The sequence below is a fragment of the Homo sapiens genome, chromosome 2, assembly GCF_000001405.40.
Source record: "Homo sapiens chromosome 2, GRCh38.p14 Primary Assembly".
In the NCBI taxonomy this organism is placed as follows: Eukaryota; Metazoa; Chordata; class Mammalia; order Primates; family Hominidae; genus Homo; species Homo sapiens.
The window spans coordinates 54,029,910-54,051,835 of NC_000002.12; the positions used below are offsets into that span (position 1 = coordinate 54,029,910).

Below are 21,926 nucleotides of genomic sequence, written 5' to 3' on the forward strand. Positions count from 1 at the left end.
CCCGCCAATAATGAGAAGCAGACAAACTAGGAAAGAAGGGAATTTATTGCTGTAACCAGATACAGGGAGAAGGCCCGAGATAATTCCACCAGACCAATTCAAAGTGTTACAATTTTCTTAGTGCTTATGTAGGTTGAGGTTATGAGCCCAAGACCAGTCTAATATTCACCTAAGTCTATTGGTAGCTAATTTTGTTTCAATTAGAAGGTCGGAGGCAAAAAAATGCTTGCTAAGTCTGATTAAACTGTGGGGGCCCCAGGACCTTCAAGGCCTGTCTACTGTGATACTGGAGTGATTATTTCTATCTTATCTCCTTTACGGCTTGGCCTGGCGAGCTGCCTTAGACTCTCCAATGAATCTATTCAAACAGCTGCCTCTGTTACCTTGACTCGTCTCAGATTTCGTCGACTCCTGGCACAAGGAATGTATGACTGTCTCTATTATTTTGGTTTGCTCCAGGTTAGGGAGAAGCCCATGCAAGGCTCCTACTGACCATATGTTTCATTTCTAGCTTTGATGTCTGGGCACTGATTTCCCTAGGTTTAACTATTTGCTCAATGTTAAGGCAGTGCTATGGAAACCTGTCTGTCTAACTGGAGTGCTATGCAGGCCTGTCTGTGTGACTGTCATGCAGCCCCGTCTGTGCAATTGTCAGGGAGAGTTGGCCTGCCACAGATTCGCATATACATGGCCAAAGGAACAACTCCACGTTTTCTAAACGGCCTAGAGAATATCTACCCAGCGCCTCTCCTCTCTCCCTTTGTGTTCGTTATTTTGGCGAATTACTGGAAGACGGCGGTTCCAGCTGAAAGGCCATTTTAATACTTTCAAAATATGTGTATTTTTTTCATTTTTATACATTTGCAAAATAATGTCTCTAAAAAATAATAACTGACCTTTAGTACTCCTAACCTTATTGTTTTCCTTTCCCAAAGTTTCCTTCAGTAGAAATATAAACAAGTTCACCCAAATTAGTCACTGAAGCTCTCCAACTTCCTTTTCTTTTTCATTATGAAGGTCAGATCTGTGCCAATCATTGTGTGTGTGACAGTGACCACAGCATACTCTATGCCCTCAAGAAACTCATCCTCTAGGAGGAGGTGGCCAAAGCAGTAAGGGGCGCAGACACAATGTGACATGTGCTATAACAGAGGAAGTTCAGCAGGTTATGTCTCATTGGTGTCAGGGAAGGCTTCTTGGAGGAAAGCACTTCTTCTTCTTTTTTTATTATTATACTTTATGTTCTAGGGTACATGTGCACAATGCGCAGGTTTGTTACATATGTATACATGTGCCATGTTGGTGTGCTGCACCCATTAACTCATCATTTACATTAGGTATATCTCCTAATGCTATCCCTTCCCCCTCCCCCCACCCCACATCAGGCCCTGGTGTGTAATGTTCCCCACCCTGTGTGCAAGTGTTCTCATTGTTCAATTCCCACCTATGAGTGAGAACATGCAGTGTTTGGTTTTCTGTCCTTGCGATAGTTTGCTCAGAATGATGGTTTCCAGCTTCATCCATGTCCCTACAAAGAACATGAACTCATCCTTTTTTATGGCTGCATAGTATTCCATGGTGCATATGTGCGACATTTTCTTAATCCAGTCTATCATTGATGGACATTTGGGTTGGTTCCAAGTCTTTGCTATTGTGAATAGTGCCGCAATAAACATACATGTGCATGTGTCTTTATAGCAGCATGATTTATAGTCCTTTGAGTATATGCCCAGTAATGGGATTGTTGGGTCAAATGGTATTTCTAGTTCTAGATCCCTGAGGAATCGCCACACTGTCTTCCACAATGGTTGAACTAGTTTACAGTCCCACCAACAGTGTAAAAGCGTTCCTATTCCTCCACATCCTCTCCAGCACCTGTTATTTCCTGACTTTTTAATGATTGCCATTCCAACTGGTGTGAGATGGTTTCTCACTGTGGTTTTGATTTGCATTTATCTGATGGCCAGTGACGATGAGCATTTTTTCATGTGTCTTTTGGCCGCATAAATTTCTTCTTTTGAGAAGTGTCTGTTCATATCCTTCGCCCACTTTTTGATGGGGTTGTTTGATTTTTTCTTGTAAATTTCTTTAAGTTCTTTGTAGATTCTGGATATTAGCCCTTTGTCAGATGAGTAGATTGCAAAAATTTTCTCCCATTTTGTAGGTTGCCTGTTCACTCTGATGGTATTTTCTTTTGCTGTGCAGAAGCTCTTTAGTTTAATTAGATCCCATTTGTCTATTTTGGCTTTTGTTGCCATTGCTTTTGGTGTTTTAGTCATGAAGTCCTTGCCCATGCCTATGTCCTGAATGGTATTGCCTAGGTTTTCTTCTAGGGTTTTATGGTTTTAGGTCTAACATTTAAGTCTTTAATCCATCTTGAATTAATTTTTGTATAAAGTGTAAGGAAGGGATCCAGTTTCAGCTTTCTACTTATGGCTAGCCAGTTTTCCTAGCACCATTTGTTAAATAGGGAATCCTTCGCCCATGTCTTGTTTTCATCAGGTTTGTCAAAGATCAGATGGTTGTAGATGTGTGGTTTTATTTCTGAGGGCTCTTTTCTGTTCCATTGGTCTATATCTCTGTTTTGGTACCAGTACCATGCTGCTTTGGTTACTGTAGCTTTGTAGTATACTTTGAAGTCAGATAGCCTGATGCCTCCAGCTTTGTTCCTTTTGCTTAGGATTGTCTTGGCAATTCAGGCTCTTTTTTGGTTCCATATGAACTTTAAAGTAGTTTTTTCCAATTCTGTGAAGAAAGTCATTGGTAGCTTGATGGGGATGGCATTGAATCTATAAATTACTCCCATTCACAATTGCTTCAAAGAGAATAAAATACCTAGGAATCCAACTTATGAGGGATGTGATGGACCTCTTCAAGGAGAACTACAAACCACTGTTCGATGAAATAAAAGAGAACACAAACAAATGGAAGGAGATTCCATGCTCGTGGATAAAAAGAATCAATATTGTGAAAATGGCCATACTGCCCGAGGAAAGCATTTCTAAGGAGGGACCTGAATGAGAAGGAGTTAGTCAGATAAAGCTGGAAAGAAAGAGTTCCAGGCAGAGAAAGTGGCTTCTACAAAAACTATTGACAAAAACCATTGTATGTACAGTGTTGGGTATTTAGGCAGTTTATGAGGATTAAAGCCCAAGGCAAACTAATCAGGGTGAACAAAGAAAGGTGGCTCAGAGCAGTCTGAGCTTTGTGAGGTCTGCGAAATTAATGAGGCTCACAGAGATATGAGTGTGGGAGTGTGGTTAGGCCCCTCAGTCGTGCCTGTGGGCAATTTTTTTTTTTTTTTTTGAGACAGGGTCTTGCGTTGTTGTCCAGGCTGGAGCACAGTGGTCTAACCAAGGCTCACTGCAGCCTTGACCTCCCAGGCATGAGCTATCTTCCGACCTCACCCTTCCAAGTACTTGGGACCCCAGTTGTGTGCCACCATGCCTAGCTAATTTTTGTGTGTGTTTTGTTTTTTTTTTTGGTAGAGACAGGGTCCCACTGTGTTGCCCAGGCTGGTCTCGAACTCTTGGGCTCAAGCAAACTTCCTGTCTCAGCCTCCCAGTGAATTAAGATTACAGGTGTGAGCCACAATGCCTGGCCTATCCACACATTTCTATATGAATTTACTTTTAGGAGAGTGGGGGAATGATGAAAATTGTGTGTTATATAAGGTTTTGCCTAATGTGTGAGAAACACTGGTGTAGACCATGCTGAAGACAATCTGGAGCCCCTGAAAGCTTTCAGGCAGGGGAGTGACATGATCAGACCTGCATTTTGGGAAGATCATTCTGGCTGTAATGTGGAGAACAGACTGCAAGGAGCCAACCAAGGTAGCATGAAGACCAGCCGGATGGCTGTTGCCATAATCCAGGTGAGAAATGATGGTGGTCTGAAGTAAGGTGTTAGTAACAGAAATAAAGAAAGAACATAATGATTTTTTCTCCCTAGATTCTGAAAAGAGTTGGCTTCACTTTTCCCAGAAATACATGCTGTCAAGACCAAATGAATCATAATATTTCAGACATCCTGAAAGATAATGGGGAAATACAGTTATGTGTCACATAATGACATTTTGATCAATGATAGACCAAATATAATAGTGGTTCCATAAGACTGTAATAGCAGTGTTACAGCTCTTTTAGAAGCAGGCTTTTTGGTTTTTGCCAGAAAGCCCAAAATAAAAGAAAAGACTCCCAGCCCTTTGTGAGGCCAAGGTGGGTGGATCACTTGAGGTCAGGAGTTTGAGACCAGCCTGGCCAACATGGTGAAACCCTGTCTCTACTAAAAATACAAAAATTAGCCAGGCATGGTGGTGGGCACTTGTAATCCCAGCTACTCGGGAGGCTGAGGCAGGAGAATTGCTTGAACTCAGGAGGCGGAGGTTGCGGTGAGCCGGGATCATGCCACTGCACTGCAGCTTGGGCAGCAGAGTGAGACTCCAACCTCTACCCCCCAAAATAAGACTATAATACTGTATTTGTATTGTACCTTTTCTGTGTTTAGATACATCTAGATACACGAATACTTACCATTGTGTTACAGTTGCGTACAGTATTCAGTACAGTAACATGCTGTACAGGTTTGTAACCTAGGAGTGATAGTCTATCCCCTATCACCTGGATGTGTAGTAGGCTATACCATCTAGGTTTGCGTAAGTGCAGTCTAAGATGTTTGCACTACGATGAAATTGCTTAACAATGCATTTCTCAGAACATATTCTCAATGTTAAGTGACACATGACAGTATATTTACAACAGGGATATTTCCCATATTTCTTAAATCATATCAATAGTGTAATGGTTAAAAGATTAGACTCATCTGGGCACGGTGGCTCACGCCTGTAATCCCAGCACTTTGGGAGGCCGAGGCGGGTGGATCACGAGGTCAGGCATTCAAGACCAGCCTGGCCAACATAGTAAAACCCCGTCTCTACTAAAAATACAAAAAATTAGCTGGGCGTCGTGGCAGGCGACTATAATCCTAGCTACTCAGGAGGCTGAGGCAGGAGAATCGCTTGAACCTGGGAGGCGGAGGTTGCAGTGAGCTGAGATCATGCCACTGCACTCCAGCCCAGGCGACAGTGCGAGACTACATCTCAAAAAAAAAAAAAAAAAAAAAAAGCCTAGACTCTGGTTAAGAGGTTTAAGAGGTTTGAGTCCTCACACACTGACATTTAAGAGCCCCAGCCTTGGGCAAAATCACTTAACTTCTCTAGGCCCCAGTTTCTTTTTCGGCAAAAATGGGGATTTCAGCTGTTGCTACCATGTTGTGATTTCATGAGCAAAGGTATTCACTTCTCCTACTTTTTAGACCGGCCCTGACTCTAACTAGAGACAATTTCTTTTTCTTTTTCTTTTTTTTTTTTTTTTTTGAGACAGAGTCTCGCTCTGTCGCCCAGGCTGGAGGGCAGTGGTGCGATCTCGGCGCACTGCAAGCTCCGCCTCCCGGGTTCACGCCATTCTCCTGTCTCAGCCTTCCGAGTAGCTGGGAGTACAGGCGCCCGCCGTCATCCCTGGCTAATTTTTTGTGTTTTTAGTAGAGACGTGGTTTCACTGTGTTAGCCAGGATGGTCTCGATCTCCTAACCTTGTGATCCACCCGCCTCGGCCTCCCAAAGTGCTGGAATTACAGGTGCAAGCCACCGCTCCCGGCCTAGAGACAATTTCAAAAGCAAATTGTTCAGTTATCTTTTGAGTAGTGGTATTAAATTTATACTCAACCATCTACATGATCACAGTTTGACCCATTTGTGACAAATTTCAGACAATTCTAGGATTAGAATGGCTACCTATAATTTTCGGTTATAGAAGAGAGTGAAACTTACCTGTTGGCACCAGGCTTTTACCCAATGGTAGATGTTTCCTTCTTATAATTTGTTAACATTTTGGGTGATCATGGAGAAGTACCTTCTAAGGACTTGAGAATGAGGAAATAAGATTGCCCTTTGAGAATAAACTGTAGGATCAGAGCAGAAAAATATTAAATTTCCTGAAGGAGACAGGCTGAGTCTTAGGCCAGCTAAAATGTCAACAATATAATTAAATGTATATTAATATATCTAAAGATATCAGTCAAAAGACGATTGATTGGCCTAGGTAAACATATAGACAAAACTGGCAGTACCTCTCCAAGCTTAGAGTAGGGGAAAGAAAGTCTTAACCTTTAGCATACATATTTCTTTTTTTGTTTGTTTGTTTGTTTGAGGCAGGGTCTTGCTCTGTCACCCAGACTGGAGTGCGGTGGCATGATCTTGGCTCACTGTAGCCTCTGCCTGCCGGGTTCAAGCGATTCTCCTGCCTCAGCTCCACACGTAGCTGGGATTACAGCAGTATGCCACCACACCTGGCTAATTTTTGTATTTTTAGTAGAGACGGGGTTTCACCATGTTGGCAGGCTGGTGTGGAACTCGACCTCAGGTGATTTCTGCCCACCTTGGCCTACCAAAGTGTTGGGATTACAGGCGTGAGCCACCGCACCCAGCCCAAAGTCCCTTTTGCCATGTAAAGTAACACTCACAGTTTCTGTGGGCATCTTTGGGGGCCTTATTCAGTGTGCCACAGTGTCTTTTAGCCCACTTCCATATATTTGATTATCTATCTTCATTCTTACTACTGAGCAGGATTCAGATTATGATTTGACTTCTCATGTAGGCTGTCTGCAGGGAGAAAATGCACAGAGCATTCACACCTTGAAGTTTCTGTCCCCAAGATAGAGATTTCTCATGGTAAGTTAGTAAAGTGTCTTCTGATGGTGAATTGGCTTCTCTTTGCCTTGACTTCAAGGAGAAAATGCACAAATTAGGCAAGCAAGAAAATTCTGGTCCATGTGAGAGTTTAATTTCTCATTGTAAATGAATAAAGTGGCATTTGAATGTCTAGGATCTCTCAGGGCCTACACCCAGGACATTGGCGGGACTGTTTCTGGACCATATCCTGAAAACTGGACACCCAACTGTGGTGCTCTGTTACCTCCTGCGTGGCCCCTGCGGTCTTCCCTGGATGATGCCTTGACTGCTTCATGGTCAGGTCCCTCTCCTCTGATTTCTAGATCACTCATTTAAGAGGACTTAGAGTTGTGTGAAGTAATGTTGTCCCTAATTAATATGTATATAATTTTACATTGAGTTTCTGGCCAAAGGACCTAACTCCTATTTTTTAATGTAGAGAAAAACTCCTTTAGAAAATATTTCAATGGACGTTAGAATTTTGTTTTGTTTTTTAAGACAGAATCTCGCTCTGTCACCCAGGTTGGAGTGCAGTGGTGCAATCTTGGCTCACTAGAACCTCTGCCTCCCAGGCTCAAGTGATCCTCTGGCCTCGGCCTCCCAAATACCTGGGATTACAGGCGCCCACCACCATGCCTGTCTAATTTTTTTGTATTTTTGGTAGAGACGGAGTTTCACCATGTTCCCTGGGCTGGTCTCAAACTCCTGTTCTCAAGTGATCCACCTGTCTCAGCTTCCCAAATTGCTGGGATTACAGGCATAAGCCACCATACCAAGCTTGTTTTGTTTTTTTGAGACAGAGTCTTGCTCTGTCACCCAGGCTGAGGTGCAGTGGCACAATCACGGCCCACTGCAGCCTCAACCTCCTAGGCTCGAGCAATCCAACCACCTCTGCCTCCTGAGTAGTTAGGACCACAGTGAACCCCTATGCCTAGTTAACTTTTAAATTTTTTGTAGAGATGAGATCTCACAATGTTACCCAGGCTAATCTTGAACTCTTGGCCTCAAGTGATCCTCCCCCCTCACCCTCCCAAAGTGCTGGGATTACAGGGGTGAGCCATAATGCCCGGCCTAAAACATGCTTTTAATTAACTTTAAAAAAGTGAATAAAATATATAGTAAAATCGAAATCAGAGTGCTTTTGAAACAAATGAAATGTAAGACTTTTAATAAGCTAGGTGGTTATCAATGGTCATATCAGAAGATTGAAAATATCAACATTATAAATATCAATAAACTATGAGAAACTTGGAAATTCTTTCAGGAATGTGAAGGTGACTTAGAGCTAGCAGGTGCTTTTCACTGTGTGCATCATGCAGATTGGAATAAATATTTCCCCAGGGTGTAAAAATCTCCGAAGCTTTCTCTCCTACACAGTGAAATTACTACAATTTAATATTCAGTGTTACCAACACCTTCCCTTATATAATAAGGAAATTAAAGCATGAAGTAGGAAAAACAAGCTGGATATATTGAGACAACTCTGGATCAACACTTCCTGGAAGGTGGGAGGACAGATTTATTCTAACCTCTGAGCGTCCTGATTCAAACATTTGTTCGGTTGTCCTTGGCCTAGGATGCCCTTATTTTTGGCCTGGTAGACACCTCCTCATTCTCCAAGATTCACATTAAGTTCAGCTTCTCTGTGAAGGCTTCTTTCACCCTAAGGGTAAGTTGACCCTTTTCCCGTCTTCTTTGCTAACACTGCATACTCTTTGTTTTTTTTGCAAATATATCTTACTTTCCACTATATGTGAGCTTCTTGAGGGCAGGGATTTAAATATATATATGTATGTATTTTATTTACTTAACATAGTACTTACTAAGTGCGTGGTGCTATTCTAAGCACTACATAAGTTATTGATCATTTAATCCTTGTAATAGTCCCATGAGGCTTATTATTATCTCCATTTTGTAGATGAGGAACCTGAAGTGCAGAGTGTTCAGTAACTTTATTCCTCTCTGTTTCACCAGAACCTAAAGGTGATTCTTTGCATACAGTAGGCATTCATTCATTCAATAAATCTTTATTGAATACTATATATATATATATATATATATATATATATATATATATACTCTTCTAAGTGCTAAGATACAGCAATGAAAAAAGATGAAAAAACCCCCACCTTTTTGGAGCTCACATTTTGGTTGTCAGAATAGGTAAAAAAAAAAAAAAAAAGATAAATAAAATAAACATTTGTTCCATAGGTGGCAATAAATTCTGCAGGAAAAAAAAGTAAAGCCAGTAAGTGGGAAAAGGAGCTCTTGAAATTGCAATTTTAGATGGGTTAACAGGGAAGGGCTCACTGAGAAGGAGATATTTGAGGGAAGGAGTTGAGTGAGTGAATGAGTGAGTCATATCTGGGGGAAGAACATCCCAGGAACAGCTAGTACAAAGGTCCTGAGGTGTCTGGAATGTTCAAGGAACAGCAAAGGGTGGGGAGCGTGCTCCTATAATAGAACAGGGAAGTGGGAAAGAAGTAGAGGGTGAGGTTGGGAGAGAATGGGCAGTGAGCAGAGCATGTAGGGCTTTAAAATAATTTTTCAAGTTGAACTTTTACTAAAAATATCTTTGGAAGTTTTTTTTTTTTTTTTTTCCCCAGCCTACATCGTGCTTTAATTTTTTTTTTCTTTTCTTCTCTTTTTTTCTTTTTCCTTTTTTTTGGCGGGGGGGGACAGGGTCCCACTCTGTGGCCCAGGCTGGAGGGCAGTGGTGTGATCTTGGCTCAAGCAACCTCTGCCTCCCAGGCTCAAGCGATCCTCCCGCCTCAGCCTCCCTAGTAGCTGGGACTACAGGTGTGCACTATCATGCCTGGCTAATTTTTGTATTTTTTCTAGAGATGGGGTTTCATGATGCTGCCCAAGCTGATCTCGAACTCCTGAGCTCAAGCAATCCACTCACCTTGGCCTCCCTAGTAGCTGGGACTACACGTGTGCACTATCATACCTGGCTAATTTTTGTATTTTTGGTAGAGATGGGGTTTCATCATGTTGCCCAAGCTGGTCTCGAACTCCTCGATCCACCCACCTCAGCCTCCCAAAGCTCTGGGATTACAGGCATGAGCCAGCACATGCAGCCCTTTGGAGGGCTTGGAGGGTTTTTGAGCAGAAGAGTGATCTTCTTGAATTTATGTTTTTATCGGTGTCACTCAGGCTTCTGTGTTTTATATTTGTTTTCTTTTGTGTGTGTGTGTGTGTGTGTGTGTGTGTGTGTGTGTGTGTGTGTGTGTGTTTTGAGACAGGGTCTTGCTCTGTTGCCCAGGCTGGAGTGTGGTGGTACAATCATAGCTCACTGCAGCCCCAAACTCCTGGGCTTAAGAGATCTTTGTGCCTTGGCCTCCCAAAGTTCTGGGATTACAGTCATGAGCCACTGTGCCTGGCCCAGGCTTCTGTGTTGAGAAGAATCTCAACATGTCAAAGATGGAAGCTGGGAGACTAGTTTGGAGGTTCCCACAGTAATTTAGGTAAAAGACAGCAGTGGTAGTAGTGGAAGTGGTGAGAATTGGTCAGATTCTGGACATATGCTGAAGGTTAATCAGACAGATCTGCTGATAGGTCAGATGTGAGGTGTGAGAGGAAAAGAAGCATCCAGTATGACTTCAAGGCTTTGAACTCTGCAACTCGGGAAAAGAAGAAAAGGAACAGGATTTGGTGGTAGGGCAGTGACAAGCAGCAATCAGGAGTTCAGTTTAGGACTTGTTAAACTTGAGATGTCTTTTATTCAAGTGATAATATTAAGGAGGCAGCTGGATATGTGAATCTGGGGTATAGGGGAGACATGCAGACCGGACACTGTTAGCACATCCTAGATGATAGTTCAAGTCATGAGACTAGAGGAGATTGCCAAATGAGTCAGTGAAGATGGAAAGCAGAAGAGGTACAAGGGCTGAATCTTGGGATGCTCCAAGTTTTGGAGGTCAGAGAGATGAACAGGACCTAACATAGAAGACTGATAATGAGCAGCCAGAGAAATAGGGGAAAGATTAGGTAAGTGCCCTTCTAAAAACTATATGGAAAGTGGTTCAGGAGGAAAGAGTAATCACATTCTACTAACTGATCAAGTAAGATGAAAATTAAGGCTTGGCTGTTGGATATAGCAACAGGAAAGTGGAGGAGATCTTGATGAGAGTGATTTAACTGAAGTGGATTGGATAAATAACTGACTATATTAGGTTTTAGAGAGGTACTGGACATGGGGAATATAGACAACCCCTAGGAAAGAAAGAAATGGAGGTAGTAGCTGAAAGAGGAAGTGAGGTCAACAGAGGGTTTTTCAAAAATGGGAGAAATAGTGTTCATAGATAGGTGGAAAAGATCCAGGGGAAAGGGATGAGCTGATGCAGGTGATTGAGAGGAGAATTGCTGGAGTGATGTCCTTGAGTAGGTGGTGTCTGGTTCACAAGGAAAGCGGTGGCCTTTTCTTTTCTTTTTTTCTTTTCTTTTCCTCTCTCTCTCTTTCTTTCTTTCTTTCTTTTTTTTTGTATTTTTTGTAGAGACAGGGTTTCACCATGTTGCCCAGGCTGGTGTTGAACTCCTGGCATCATGCAATCTGCCTGCCTCAGCCTCCTAAAGTGCTGGGATTACAGGCATGAGCCATCACGCCCGGCCAGCGGTGGCCTTTTCTAGGGGCACAGAGTGTTCCTCTACAGTCACAGGAAGGAAGCCCAGAATATGGGCATGATGCAGCGGTGGGTGTTTGTGGGAGCTCTCTTCTGATTCATTCTATTTTCTCAGTGAAATAGGAAGCAAGGGCATCAGAATGATGAGGGGAGGTGAGTAAGTATTTGAGGTTTGAGGACAGAGAAGGTGTGAAATAGTCACCCAGGAGAGTGGGAGAATAAAAGGGCCAGGGAAATTCAGTGTGGTTGTTAGCAGCATTAAGGGCTTACTCAAAACTTATGATCATGAATTTAAAGTGAGATCTCTTAGTATGGTTTGGTTCTTCACTAGTTGCATTTGGCTGCACAGGTGTACGACTGGACTATGGGGAATGTTTTCTTCAACAAAGGTTATTGTTTATTCAAGTGAGTATCTCAGTGTCAGAGGCGGCAAGGGAGCTGAGGGTACATGCAACATAATATAAGTGAGTTTAAGCTGGGTGAGGTATCAAATGAACGCATACATGAAAGAATAAATTGTTTCCCCACTTAGAATGCATTTTTTTCTTTTTAGAGTGGGGTCTTGCTCTGTTGCCCACGTTGGAGTACACTGGCACGATCACAGCTCACTGCAGCCTCAACCTCCTGGGCTCAAGCAATCCTCCCGCCTCAGCCTCCCAAGTTGCTGGGACCACAGGCATGAGACACCTCACACAGTTCTGGAATTCATTTTCTGTCTCCGGTCCATTGCTTCAAACTCACTTTATTCTTTCTTTTTTTTTTTTTTTGAGATGGAGTTTCACTCTTCTTGCCCAGGCTGGAGTGCAGTGGCACGATCTTGGCTCACCACAACCTCCGCCCCCGAGTGCAAGCAATTCTCCTGCCTCAGCCTCCCAAGTAGCTGGGATTACAGGCATGCACCACCACACCCTGCTAATTTTGTATTTTTAGTAGACACAGGGTTTCTCCATGTTGGTCAGGCTGGTCTCGAACTCTCAACCTCAGGTGATCCCCCTGCCTTGGCCTCCCAAAGTGCTGGGATTACAGGCGTGAGCCACCACGCCCAGCCCAAACTCACTTTATTCTTAATAGTCCATATAAGAACTGTACCCCCAGAAAACAAGCTTGGTGTTAAGCTATAAACGTTGCTCTTGGCTCAGAATAATTTAAGAGGAGCAAATCTTATATCATAGGTCATAGAGTACAGGGGTTATTCTGTTTAAGTTTTTCCTTAGATTGTTTAGAATTCTTCTTCCATTCAAATTTTAGCTTATTCTGGGAGCAAAACACACTGACCCAGGGTAGATGCTGGAGAGTGACTCACAGAAGTTTCCACAAACATACAACTTTTTTTTATTTTTCTTTTTGGCCAGGACTCAATATTTTTATTAGTGTCTGGTAAATGATATTTGAGTAGATCCTAATTAGGGGTGTGTGTCAAGGGGCACGATGGTGAGGGGACCCTTATTCCCTTTGGGTCCCTGTTTGGCTTCAAATTTGTATTCAGCAGGCCGAAAGAGAGGCAAATGTTACCATCTGTCCTTGGCCAGGGAAAACATATTTACAATGCAGACTCTCGTTTCACGAATCCAAGTTGGAGATCAGAGAGAGAACCAAGAAGCAACGTGGAAGACCAACCAATCTTTCTTAGGAACCTAAACACATCAGCACACCCACCATTTCCACCTCCCTATAATTTAAATATAGCACAAAATAAATGCTCTGTCTACCTTGCTCTACATAGCCATCAGTCCATGCGTAGCATGGCCACTCCCTGACCAAAGCCTTGTTACTGTATGTGGCCAGGGACCTTGGTTAATATGGGGTGTGTGTGGGGTGTGTGTGTGTGTGTGTGTGTGTGTCTGCTATTTTAAAACTAGTGGCCTAAAAATAGTTGTGTACACATAGAAAATGCATGCTGGTTGAGTGGTTGAGTTCAGGATTGCCAAACCCCAGAACTCTTAGCCTGGGAGGATGGCAAGTATAATATATCTTATTCTATTACCTGAATATCTTAACCAAGGGACAATCAAAAGGAATCCAATATACAGGCACTCCTACTCAGACCAGTGGTTCTCAACAGGGGCAGGACCACTTTTTGGATATGGTTTGGGAATTACGGATGCATTTTTGGTTATCACAGTGATTGAAGGCATGCTCAGTGGCATTTGGTGGCTGGGGCCAAGACTGACAGATGTGTGGAACAGTTCCATAGAACAAAGAAACTGTTCTGCCTGACTTTCAAATGCCCTGCAGGGCATTGATATGAATGAAAAATCTATCTATAATTATTTCAACTTAGACCCTAACTCCAGTTTTATTTCTTCTTTATTTTACACTTATGACATTGTGCTAATTAAAAAATTTTTTCCTGTGTGGAATTAGATTATATGATATATGAATTTCATTTAAAATCATGAAGGCGATGTTTTATTATATAAAGGGGATAATGGGTCTGATATGATGGAGAACTACCATGCTGGTTACTTATATGTATCCAGACATCCTTCCATGGCAAATTTACACATTATCTATAACTGCATCTAACCTTATTCATAAAAGGCAGCGATACATCAACCCCTGCAGTCCACATTTAAATCCTAAAGTGTGAAGAGTCTCGGCTGGGGGCTAGCTGTGATTCCTCCTCCTTATCCCAATTAGGAGGAAACTAAAAACAGGAACTACCCACATTTTTTAGGGAAAAGGGAATCACAGTAAAAATGTATGTGAGGATGAGAAATAAGAAGCTCCAGCTGGTGAGAAGAGCAAGGGAAAGGAGAGTTCGGGGCTGGGCATCAAATTAAGTGGAAAGCCCCATCAAGGACAGAGACGAGATCTCTCTTCTAGATCTCCATCTCCAAACACTCCCCTGCAACAGATGTACACACAGAGCCCATTGTTTTCTCTAGAAATGTAAACTGCACGTCACAGTTACTCCATACACACCACAAACAGACTCCCTTTGTTCTCAGGATATGTGTTGACACAAGAATATGTCATCCTCTCAGCTCCAGACTTTCCACTGAATAAAGGTGCCAAGGGAAAGTTTTGGAAAGCTTTTCAAAAGAAGATCTACGGCTGAGTGCGGTGGCTCATGCCTGTAATCCCAGCACTTTGGGAGGCTGAGGCGGGTAGATCACTTGGGACGAGGAGTTCAAGACTAGCCTGGGCAATATGGCGAACCCCCGTGTCTACTAAAAATACCAAAAGAAAAAAAAAAAAAGCCAAGTGTGGTGGCACAGTGCCAGGCTGAGGTGGGAGGATCACCTGAGCCCGGGAGGTGGAGGTTGCAGTGAGCTGAGATTACACCACTGCACTCCAGTCTGGGCAACAGAGTAAGACGCTGTCCCCCACTCCTGCCCGCCCCTCTCAAAAAAAAAAAGATCCTGGGAGGCAAACGGTTTATTAATCAGGACCCTACAATTACAAGGATATGAGGCCTTTTCCCATAATCAGGGTGAAGCAGCTACAAATAATCACAGCAGGAGGGAGTAATGCATGACACCACCATTTTTTTTTCTGCAATGACTTCCTGTCACATCTGCTGCCATGTTTTATGCTAGAAACTGCAGTGGAAAGTGGCTGAAGGTTTGTTGTTGTGAAACCATCCCTATAAACTTTACAAAAATTAATCAGAAAAGAAGGGAGGGACAGAAATAAAAATAAACCAAGTTTGCAGCATATTCAGCATTTATCATGAGGTCAGCTCACTCTTTGACCTGCTTCCTCATCGTCATTTAGTGCCTGTTGTATTAGAATTTCATAGATCCTGTTACAAGATTATAGTGTCCCTAAAGTGCTTTATAGATAACAACTTGAACATTATAAAATGTTAAGTTTTCCATTTGAGATATTCCTTCAGGTCCTGCATACCAATGAAACTACTGACATCAGCTGGTCTGAACGACCCCAAAAGGAGCTGACTCACCAAAGAATGCAGTTTCCACATCCTAATGATTTCATCCCCCTTATTCCAACTGATCAATGACCCCAGTTTTCCAGGTCCTCGCCCTCCACGATCCCCTTAAAAACCCCAGCCTACAATTCCTTGGGGAGATGGATTTGAGGGTCTCCTCCCATCTTCTTACTCAGCACCCTGCAACCATTAAATTCTTTCTCTGCTGCAAACCCTCCTGTCTCAGTGTATTGGCGTGTTACTATGCAGTGGGGATACGAAACTGTTGGTCTTATAACAGTGTTTTGTTTTTAAGAGAGGAGCAGGCTAATTAAAAGAGAGGTTTTAGGGACCAACCAAAGAGAAGGCTTGACATTGAAAACTCATAAAATTGTGGAACACTGGCTGGGCATGTTGGCTCACACCTGTAATCCCAGCACTTTGGGAGGCCGAGGCGGGCAGATCATGAGGTAAGGAGATCGAGACCATCCTGGCTAAGACGGTGAAACCCTGTCTCTACTAAAAACACAAAAAATTAGCTGGGTGTGGTGGCAGTCGCCTGTAGTCCCAGCTACTCGGGAGGCTGAGGCAGGAGAATGGCGGGAACCTGGGAGGTGGAGCTTGCAGTGAGCCAAAATCACGCCACTGCACTCCAGCCTGGGTGACAGAGTGAGACTCTGTCCCAGAAAAAAAAATTGTGGAACACTTTCTGCTGCTCAGTATGATGTGAAATCTCAACAAGCAAAAGGATTGGCTAGGCTGGGAGCAGTGGCTCAGGCCTGTAATCCCAGCACTTTGGGAGGCCAAGGTGGGTAGATTGCTTCAGCTCAGGAGCTCTAGAACAGCCTGGGCAACATGGCAAAACCCAGTCTCTAAAAAAATACAAAAATTAGTTGGGCGTGGTGGCACATGCCTATAGTCCCAGCTACTTGGGAGGCTGAGGTAGGAGGATTGCTTGAGCCCAGCAGGCAGAGGTTGCAGTGAGCAGTGATCATGCCACTGCACTCTAGCTTGGGTGACAAAGCCAGACCCTGTCAAAAAAAAAAAAAAAAAAAAAAAAAGGTCCAGGCGCAGTGGCTTACACCTGTAATCCCAGCAATTTGGGGGGAGGCTGAGGCGGGTGCATTACTTGAGGTCAGGAGTTCGAGACCAGCCTGGCCAACATGGTGAAACCCTGTCCCTACTGAAAATACAAAAATTAGCTGGGTGTGATGGAACACACTTGTAATCCCAGCTACTCAGGAGGCTGAGGCAGAAGAATTACTTGAACCTGGGAAGCGGAGGTTGCAGTGAACCTGCAGTGAACTGCAGTGCCATCGCACTCCAGCCTGGTGACAGAGCAAGACTGTCTAAAAAAAAAAAAAAAAAAAAGGTTGCTTGAGAAATACATGTTGTTTGTCTCCAGGCTGAATCTGTATCTCTCATGGATCAACATAAGACCTCTTTCAGTGGAGATACGGCCTCGACAAAATATTTGTTGAATTAGGTTGAGGCATGGGGATAAGGCCACAATGGAGGAAAGTGATATGAACAAAAGCAGGGCCAGCTTCAGGGGTGTATGACCTGTCCAATCACACAGGGCCCTGTGCTTAGAAGGGCTTGCACCCGTTGGTTCAATGCCTCACTATTACCATCTTGAAATTATTAATAATTTTTGAATAAGGGGGCAACACACTTTCATTTTGCAATGGACCCTTCAAATTATATAGCCAATCCTAATCAAAAGAGTGAACATCTGAGTCTGAGAGAGCTGGGTTCAAATCCAAGTTCTACCATTACCTGGCTGTATAATCTTGGGCAACTTATTTAACCTCTTTTCATCAGTAAAATAGGGACCATGATAGTGTCTACCTCATAAGGCTGTTGTGAAGACTAAAATAAACTATATTGCAGTTTTCAGTAGATATTATTCGTGTTATCATCAGTGACAAAGATTTAGATGACATTGCAAAGGCACCAAGGCACTAAGGCACCAAGCAAGGCTGGATAACTGTTTTCTAAACCCATTTTTGGGACAGATTTCTGCTCTGGATGTATATAATTGACGTCACCATCTTGTGGCAAGACAGGCCAAGATAATTTTCCTAATTGCAGGCTTCACTGACACATTTTGTGCCAGAACCGCAGGAGAGTAGGTGTTATTTCAAATCTGTGAATCATCACCACACACTCATGCATGGCATATTTCTTATAAATTTAAAAGAGTTGAACTCTAACCAAGATAATGGAGACATTATTTTAGAATGTAGAAATATGCCCATATAAAGGCAACTTGCTATTGAAAATACTTCTGCTGCGTGGCCCTGTCGAGTCATTTTATTTGCCATACAGTTATTGAATGCAATATTCCCAACCAAAGAAGGTGCAAATCAAAAAATATCACCAGACCCATTTTACTAGGACTACATACTAATTACCACCTTGCCATGAATAAATTGATTGTATTGTATTAGAATATGGTTTGGGCTAAGTTAGGAATGAAATGTGGAGGTGAGGCCAAATGGAAGCATATTTTTCCTTTTTGACTGAATACCCCCCATTAGTTCCTTGCTTATTACTATAATTAAAAGTAGTCTTTGTCAGTACTTGTTCTTTCAAAATTATTTCTGAAGTTGAGAACAAATTTTTAAAGTGTGAGATGGATTTTTTAAAAAGGTTGTAATACATTAAATATATCATGAACATTCTACTTAGACAAAAGACCGCAGCTACCATACCACGATAAGAAATTGTCTCCTCAAGAGTTGAGTCATGGTTCTAGAAGAAAACTCGTCAATGGCTAGGGAGATAGAATTGACCCTGTGATCTGGGAAGTGAGTTCTTTCCCCCAGCCAAGGCTGGTTCCATGGTTGCAGGTGAAGATCAAGTTGGTCTTCCAGGTCTCACTAAGCATTGTAACCTTGGGCTTCACTCTATTATTTAAGTCATTAGAATCTGACAAATGTAGTATTATTCATTTAGAGATGATTTTTCCTAATTTTATATATATTTTTTGTAATAAAAGTTTTTGTAGGCCAGGCGCAGTGGCTCATGTCTGTAATCCCAGCGCTTTGGGAGGCTGAGGCAGGAGGATCCCTTGAGGCCAGGAGTTTGAGACAGTCTGGGCAACACAGGAAGATGTTGTCTCTACTGAAAATAAAAAAAAGTCAGCTGAGTGTGGTGGCACACCCTATGGCCCCAGTTGCTCAGGAAGCTGAGGTGGAAGAATTGCTTGAACAAGGGAGGTCAAGGGTGCAGTGAGTGGTGATTGTGCCACTACATTCCAGCCTGAGTGATGGAGTGAGTTTTGTCTCAAGAAAAAGAAAAAAAAATTAACCATGTGTTAACAGCTACATAACAAACTTACCATTACAGCCACTTTTTAAAAATTAAATCAATTAGTTAATTTTTTTAGAGATGACAGTCTTGCTCTGTCACCCCACTGGAGTGCAGTATCATAGCTCACTCTAGTGTTGAACTACTGGGCTCAAGGGATCCTCCCACCTCAGCCACCAGAGTAGCTGTGATTACAGGCACATGCCACCATGACCTACAACCATTTTTTAAGTGTATAGTTCAGTAGTATTAAATGCATTCACATATATGGCATTTTTAAAGATATCTTCAGTGCCTAAATGTGCAGAATTGTTTTCAAATCTTTTAGATAATTAATTTAGACACTGACAAGAGGAAGTGACAGACTTGGCTCTGAAATTCCCAGGGACTGCACTTTTAGGGTTTATGAGAGCACCTCATACCAGGCAAGGGTAGGTGCACCTCAGGGCTCAGCAGGAAGCAACAGCAGGGACAAGGACAGAGATTCTCTGAGAATTTGCTATGTGTCAGTGTCTGTTCTGAGATAGGTTAGAAGTAATGAGCTGGGGCCAGGTGCAGTGGCTCACACCTGTAATTCCAGCACTTTGGCAGGCTGAGGTGGGAAGATCACTTGAGGCCAGCCTGGGAAACGTGGTGAAACCCTGTTTCTTCTAAAAATACAAAAATTAACCAGGCGTGGTGGTGCATGCCTGTAATTCCAGCTACTCAGGAGGGTAAGGCAGGAGAATCGCTTGAACCCGGGAGGCGGAGACTGCAGTGAGCCAAGATCGCGTCACTGCACTCCAGCCTGAGTGACAGAGTGAGACCCCATCTCAAAAATAATAATAATAATAATGAACTGACTAGTGCCACCCTGATCTTTTGTGAATCCTTCCACCATCTTATAAGACTGCCTTACCTCCTCAGACACTTGCCCCTGTCAATGTGTCTTTTTCTTCTCCGTGGTTTTATGCTTTCTCTATTGGCTTCCTATCCACATGTAAATATGCTGTTTCCCATTTTAATAAAACAAACCAAACCAAACAAACAAAACCTTCCCTTGTCAAAATCCTCCCTTTTAACTTTACATTCTTTTTGTGTTTGCTTATGCTTTAATGTAGGGTTTCTTTTTTCCTTTCAAAGCTGTGCAAGCATGGGCATGGTTGCAAGTGTCAAATCATTTTCCAAGGCCTTTGACAAAAAACAGCAGTCCTTGCCCCTCTGCTGCTTCTTACTCCCCCCAAACAACTATGAGTACTTTCTATTCTTTCAACCAGTATTTTTTTTAAAAAAGAGTATCTCCTCATCTCAGAATAAGAAGCTTGCTCACATTTTTCCAGCTTTGGCCATTGGGAGCTCTTTCAGATTGGCTCCACATCCCTCTTGTTTTCTGAGCAATTCCTTTCTTCCTGGCACTATACTTACTTTTTGCCAAGCTTATCTTGTATTTTCCCTTATCCAGCCCTAGAATCAGTTATTTTCCAAGGAGCCCTGGTTTCTTTCATTGAAGAGTGGTTTTTGGAAAGCCAAATCTATGCACAAGTGTGCTCATTGCTACTGGGTGGACACTGCTTCTAGGCCTTCTCAGTGGACAGTTAGAAAATAAATGCGTGTATTTCTGTGTACAGCAAGTCCTTACTTAACATCAATAGGTTCTTGGAAACTGCAACTTTAAGCAAAATGACATATAAAGAATCAAATTTTTTTCTTTTTTTTCCTTAGGACCTCATGATGCAACAGTAGAAACCAAATTTTTTTCATGAACAGTCTAAAAAATGACATTTAATGAAACATTATTTGAGGACCTGCTGTATATTGTTTCCTTTAAAGTCGCAAAGTCTTGCAGGTGCTGTGGCTCTTGCCTGTAATCTCAGCTACTTGGGAGGCTGAGGTGGGTGGATCATGTGAGGCCAGGAGTTTGAGATCAGTCTAAGCACACATAGGGAGACTCCCATCTCTAGAAGTCATTAAAAAATTAGCAGATGTGGTGGCACGTGCCTGTAGTCCCAGCTACTTAGGAGGCTGTGGTGGGATGATCTCTTGAGCCCAGGAGTTGGAGGCTGCAGTTAGCATGATATCTAGTGCACTCCAGCCTGGGTGATAGAGTGAAACCCCATCCCTGAAAAAAAAAAAAAAAAAAGAAAATAACTAAAGAAAACAAAATTTTAAACTCGCATATATGAAAGTTCATTCTTTCTACTGTGAAGTTATATGGGTTTTAAAAAATGCATAGTCATGTATACACCGCTCCAGTGCTGGGTAAAACAATTGCATCCCCCTAAAAATTGTCTTTATAGTCTCTAGTTCAATTTTTGATTGCACTTATCAAATTCCTTTGTCTTTTTAAAATTTTATTTATTTATTTTTGAGGCAATGTCTTTTTCTGTCATTGAGGCTGGAGTGCAGTAGCACCATCATGGCTCACTGCAGCCTTGAACTCCTGGGCTCAAGCAATCCTCCTGCCTCAGCCTTCTGAGTAGCTGAGACTACAGGTGTGCACCCAACTAATTAAATTTTTTTCTTTTTTTGTAGATACAAGGTCTCGCTGTTCTACCTAGGCTGTTCTAGAACTCCTAATGTCAAGCTATCCTCCTGCCTCGGCCTCCCATGCTGTTGGGATTACAGGTGAGAACCACCGTCCTTGGTCACAAATTCCTTTAAAGAGCTGTGCAATGGCTCTCACAGCCATTGCAGTACACTGAACTCCATAGAGACAGCACTGGGCAAGTGAGAACCAGACAGGCATTGGGCGACTCTGCCTCACTGAGGAAAAATAACTAAAAATGGGCAAAGGAGATCCTAAGAAGCTGAGAGGCAAAATGTCATCATATGCATTTTTTGTGCAAACTTGTCAGGAAGAGCATAAGAAGCAGCAGCCAGATGCTTCAGTCAACTTCTCAGAGTTTTTAAGAAGTGCTCAGAGAGGTGGAAGACCATGTCTGCTAAAGAGAAAAGTGAAGACATGGCAAAGGTAGAGAAGGCCCATTATGAAAGAGAAATGAAAATCTATATCCCTCCTAAACGGGTGACAAAAAAGAAGTTTGAGGATCCCAGTGCACCCAAGAGGACTCCTTTGGGCTTTTTTTCTGTTCTGTTCTGAGAATTGCCCAAAAATAAAAGGAGATCATCTTGGCCTGTCCATTGGTGATGTTGTGAAGAAACTAGGAGAGATGTGGAATGACACTGCTGCAGGTGACAAGCAGCCTTATGAAAAGAAGGCTGCGAAGTTGAAGGAAAAATATGAAAGGATATTGCTGCATATTGAGCTAAAGGAAAGCCTGATGCAGCAAAAAAAGGAATCATCAAGGCTGAAAAAAGCAAGAAAAAGAAGGAAGAGTGCCAGGCTCAGTGGCTCACACCTGTAATCCCGGCACTTTGGGAGGCCGAGGCAGGAAAATCACCTGAGGTCA

At 42.7% G+C, this 21,926-nt stretch overlaps 1 protein-coding gene and 2 pseudogenes across 2 annotated transcripts in view; all 3 read left to right on the forward strand.

Annotated features, from left to right (window-relative positions):
• The window catches only part of ACYP2 (acylphosphatase 2), a 334,188-nt gene that overhangs the window by 58,797 nt on the left and 253,465 nt on the right, over positions 1 to 21,926 (forward strand). The window contains exon 3 of one of the 2 annotated variants that reach the window (NM_001320586.2): positions 21,049 to 21,141. The exons of the other annotated variant lie outside the window; for it this stretch is intronic. Coding sequence (NP_001307515.1) covers positions 21,049 to 21,141 — 93 coding nt within the window. The remainder of the gene's footprint in view (positions 1 to 21,048; positions 21,142 to 21,926) is intronic. 2 annotated transcript variants of the gene reach the window in all.
• On the forward strand, positions 4,126 to 4,179 carry LOC124906138 (uncharacterized; annotated as a pseudogene).
• Positions 21,425 to 21,851, forward strand: HMGB1P31 (high mobility group box 1 pseudogene 31; annotated as a pseudogene).